The following is a 1,870-nucleotide window of genomic DNA, read 5'->3' as shown; positions in this document are numbered from 1 at the left end:
GGACAGCGGGGTGTTAAAGTCTCCCATTATTATTGTGTGGGAGTGTAAGTCTGTTTTTAGGTCACTCAGGACTTGCTTTATGAATCTGGGTGCTCCTGTATTGGGTGCATATATATCTAGGATAGTTAGCTCTTCTTGTTGAATTGATCCCTTTACCATTATGTAATGGCCTTCTTTGTCTCTTTTGATCTTTGTTGGTTTAAAGTCTGTTTTATCAGAGACTAGGAATGCAACCCCTGCTTTTTTTGGCTTTCCATTTTCTTGGTAGATCTTCTGCCATCCCTTTATTTTGAGCCTATGTGTGTCTCTGCACATGAGATGCATCTCCTGAATAGAGCACACTGATGGATCTTGACTCCTTATCCAATTCGCCAGTCTGTGTCTTTTAATTGGGGCACTTAGCCCATTTACATTTAAGGTTAATATGGTTATGTGTGAATTTGATCCTGTCATTATGATGTTAGCTGGTTATTTTGCCCATTAGTTGATTCAGTTTCTTCCTATCATCAATGGTCTTTACAATTTGGCATGTTTTTGCAGTGGCTGGTACCGGTTGTTCCTTTCCATGTTTAGCACTTCCTTCAGGAGCTCTTGTAATGCAGGCCTGTTTTATGTTCCAAGATGGCCGAATAGGAACAGATGCAGTCTGCAGCTCCCAGCATGATTGAAGCAGAAGATGGGTGATTTCTGCATTTCCAACTGAGGTCCCTGGTTCATCTCACTGGGACTGGTCGGAAAGTGGATACAGCCCACAGAGGATGAGCTGAAGCAGGATGGTGCATTGCCTCATCTGGGAATTGCCAGGGGTTGGGGGATTTCCCTTTCCTAGCTAAGGGAAGCTGTGACAGACTGTACCGGGAAAATTGGGACACTGCCACCTAAGCACTGCACTTTTCCAAGGTCTCAGCAAATGGCACACTAGGAGATTATATCCTGTGCCTGGCTCAGCGGGTCCCATGCCTAAGGAGACTTGCTCACTGCTAGTCTGAGTTTGAACTGCCAGGTAGCAAGCCTGGCTGGGGGAGGGGCGTCTGCCATTGCTGAGGTTTGAGTAGCTAAACAGAGTGGCCTGGAAGCTCATACTGGGTGGAGTCCACCGTAGCTCAAGGAGGCCAGTCTGCCTCTGTAGACTCCACTTCTGGGGGCAGGGGATAGCTGAACAAAAGGCAGCAGAAATTTCTGCAGACTTAAACGTCCCTGTCTGACAGCTCTGAAGAGAGCAGTGGTTCTCCCAGCACGGTGTTTGAGCTCTGACAACAGACAGACTGGCCCCTCAAGTGGGTCCCTGACCCTGGTATAGTCTAACTTGGAGACACCTCCCAGTAGTGGCCGACTGACACCTCATACAGCCTGGTGCCCCTCTGAGATGAAGCTTCCAGAGGAAGGATCAGGCAGCAATATTTGCTGTTCTGCAATATTTGTTGTTTTGCAGCCTCCGCTGGTGATAACCAGGAAAACAGGGTCTGGAGTAGACCTCCAGCAAACTCCAACAGACCTGCAGCTGAGGGACCTGACTGTTAGAAGGAAAACTAACAAACAGAAAGTAATAGCATCAACATCAACAAAAAGGACATCCACACCAAAACCCTATCTGTAGGTCACCATCATCAAAGACCAAAGGCAGATAAAACCACAAAGGTGGGGAGAAACCAGAGCAGAAAAGCTGAAAATTCTGAAAACCAGAGTGCCCCTTCTCCCCTAAAGGATCACAGCTCCTCGCCAGCAACGGAACAAAGCAGGACAGAGAATGACTTTGACGAGCTGACAGAAGTAGGCTTCAGAAAGTCGGTAATAACAAACTTCTCTGAGCTAAAGGAGGATGTACAAACCCATTGCAAGGAAGTTAAAAACCTTGAAAAAAGATTAGATG

General features: G+C 46.8%; 1 annotated feature.

The window, feature by feature from the left end:
- Positions 354-1,553: an enhancer, noted in NCBI's record as "CDK7 strongly-dependent group 2 enhancer chr7:86176787-86177986 (GRCh37/hg19 assembly coordinates)". NCBI's record gives its function as "activates an origin of replication core promoter dependent on BRD2, BRD4, P300/CBP, MED14 and CDK7 cofactors, with strong dependence on CDK7, by STARR-seq in HCT116 cells {active_cell/tissue: HCT116}" and the evidence as "EXISTENCE:reporter gene assay evidence [ECO:0000049][PMID:35650434]".

This window comes from Homo sapiens, chromosome 7 (genome assembly GCF_000001405.40).
Source record: "Homo sapiens chromosome 7, GRCh38.p14 Primary Assembly".
Classification (NCBI taxonomy): Eukaryota; Metazoa; Chordata; class Mammalia; order Primates; family Hominidae; genus Homo; species Homo sapiens.
This window is presented reverse-complemented; position numbering and strand designations above follow the sequence as displayed.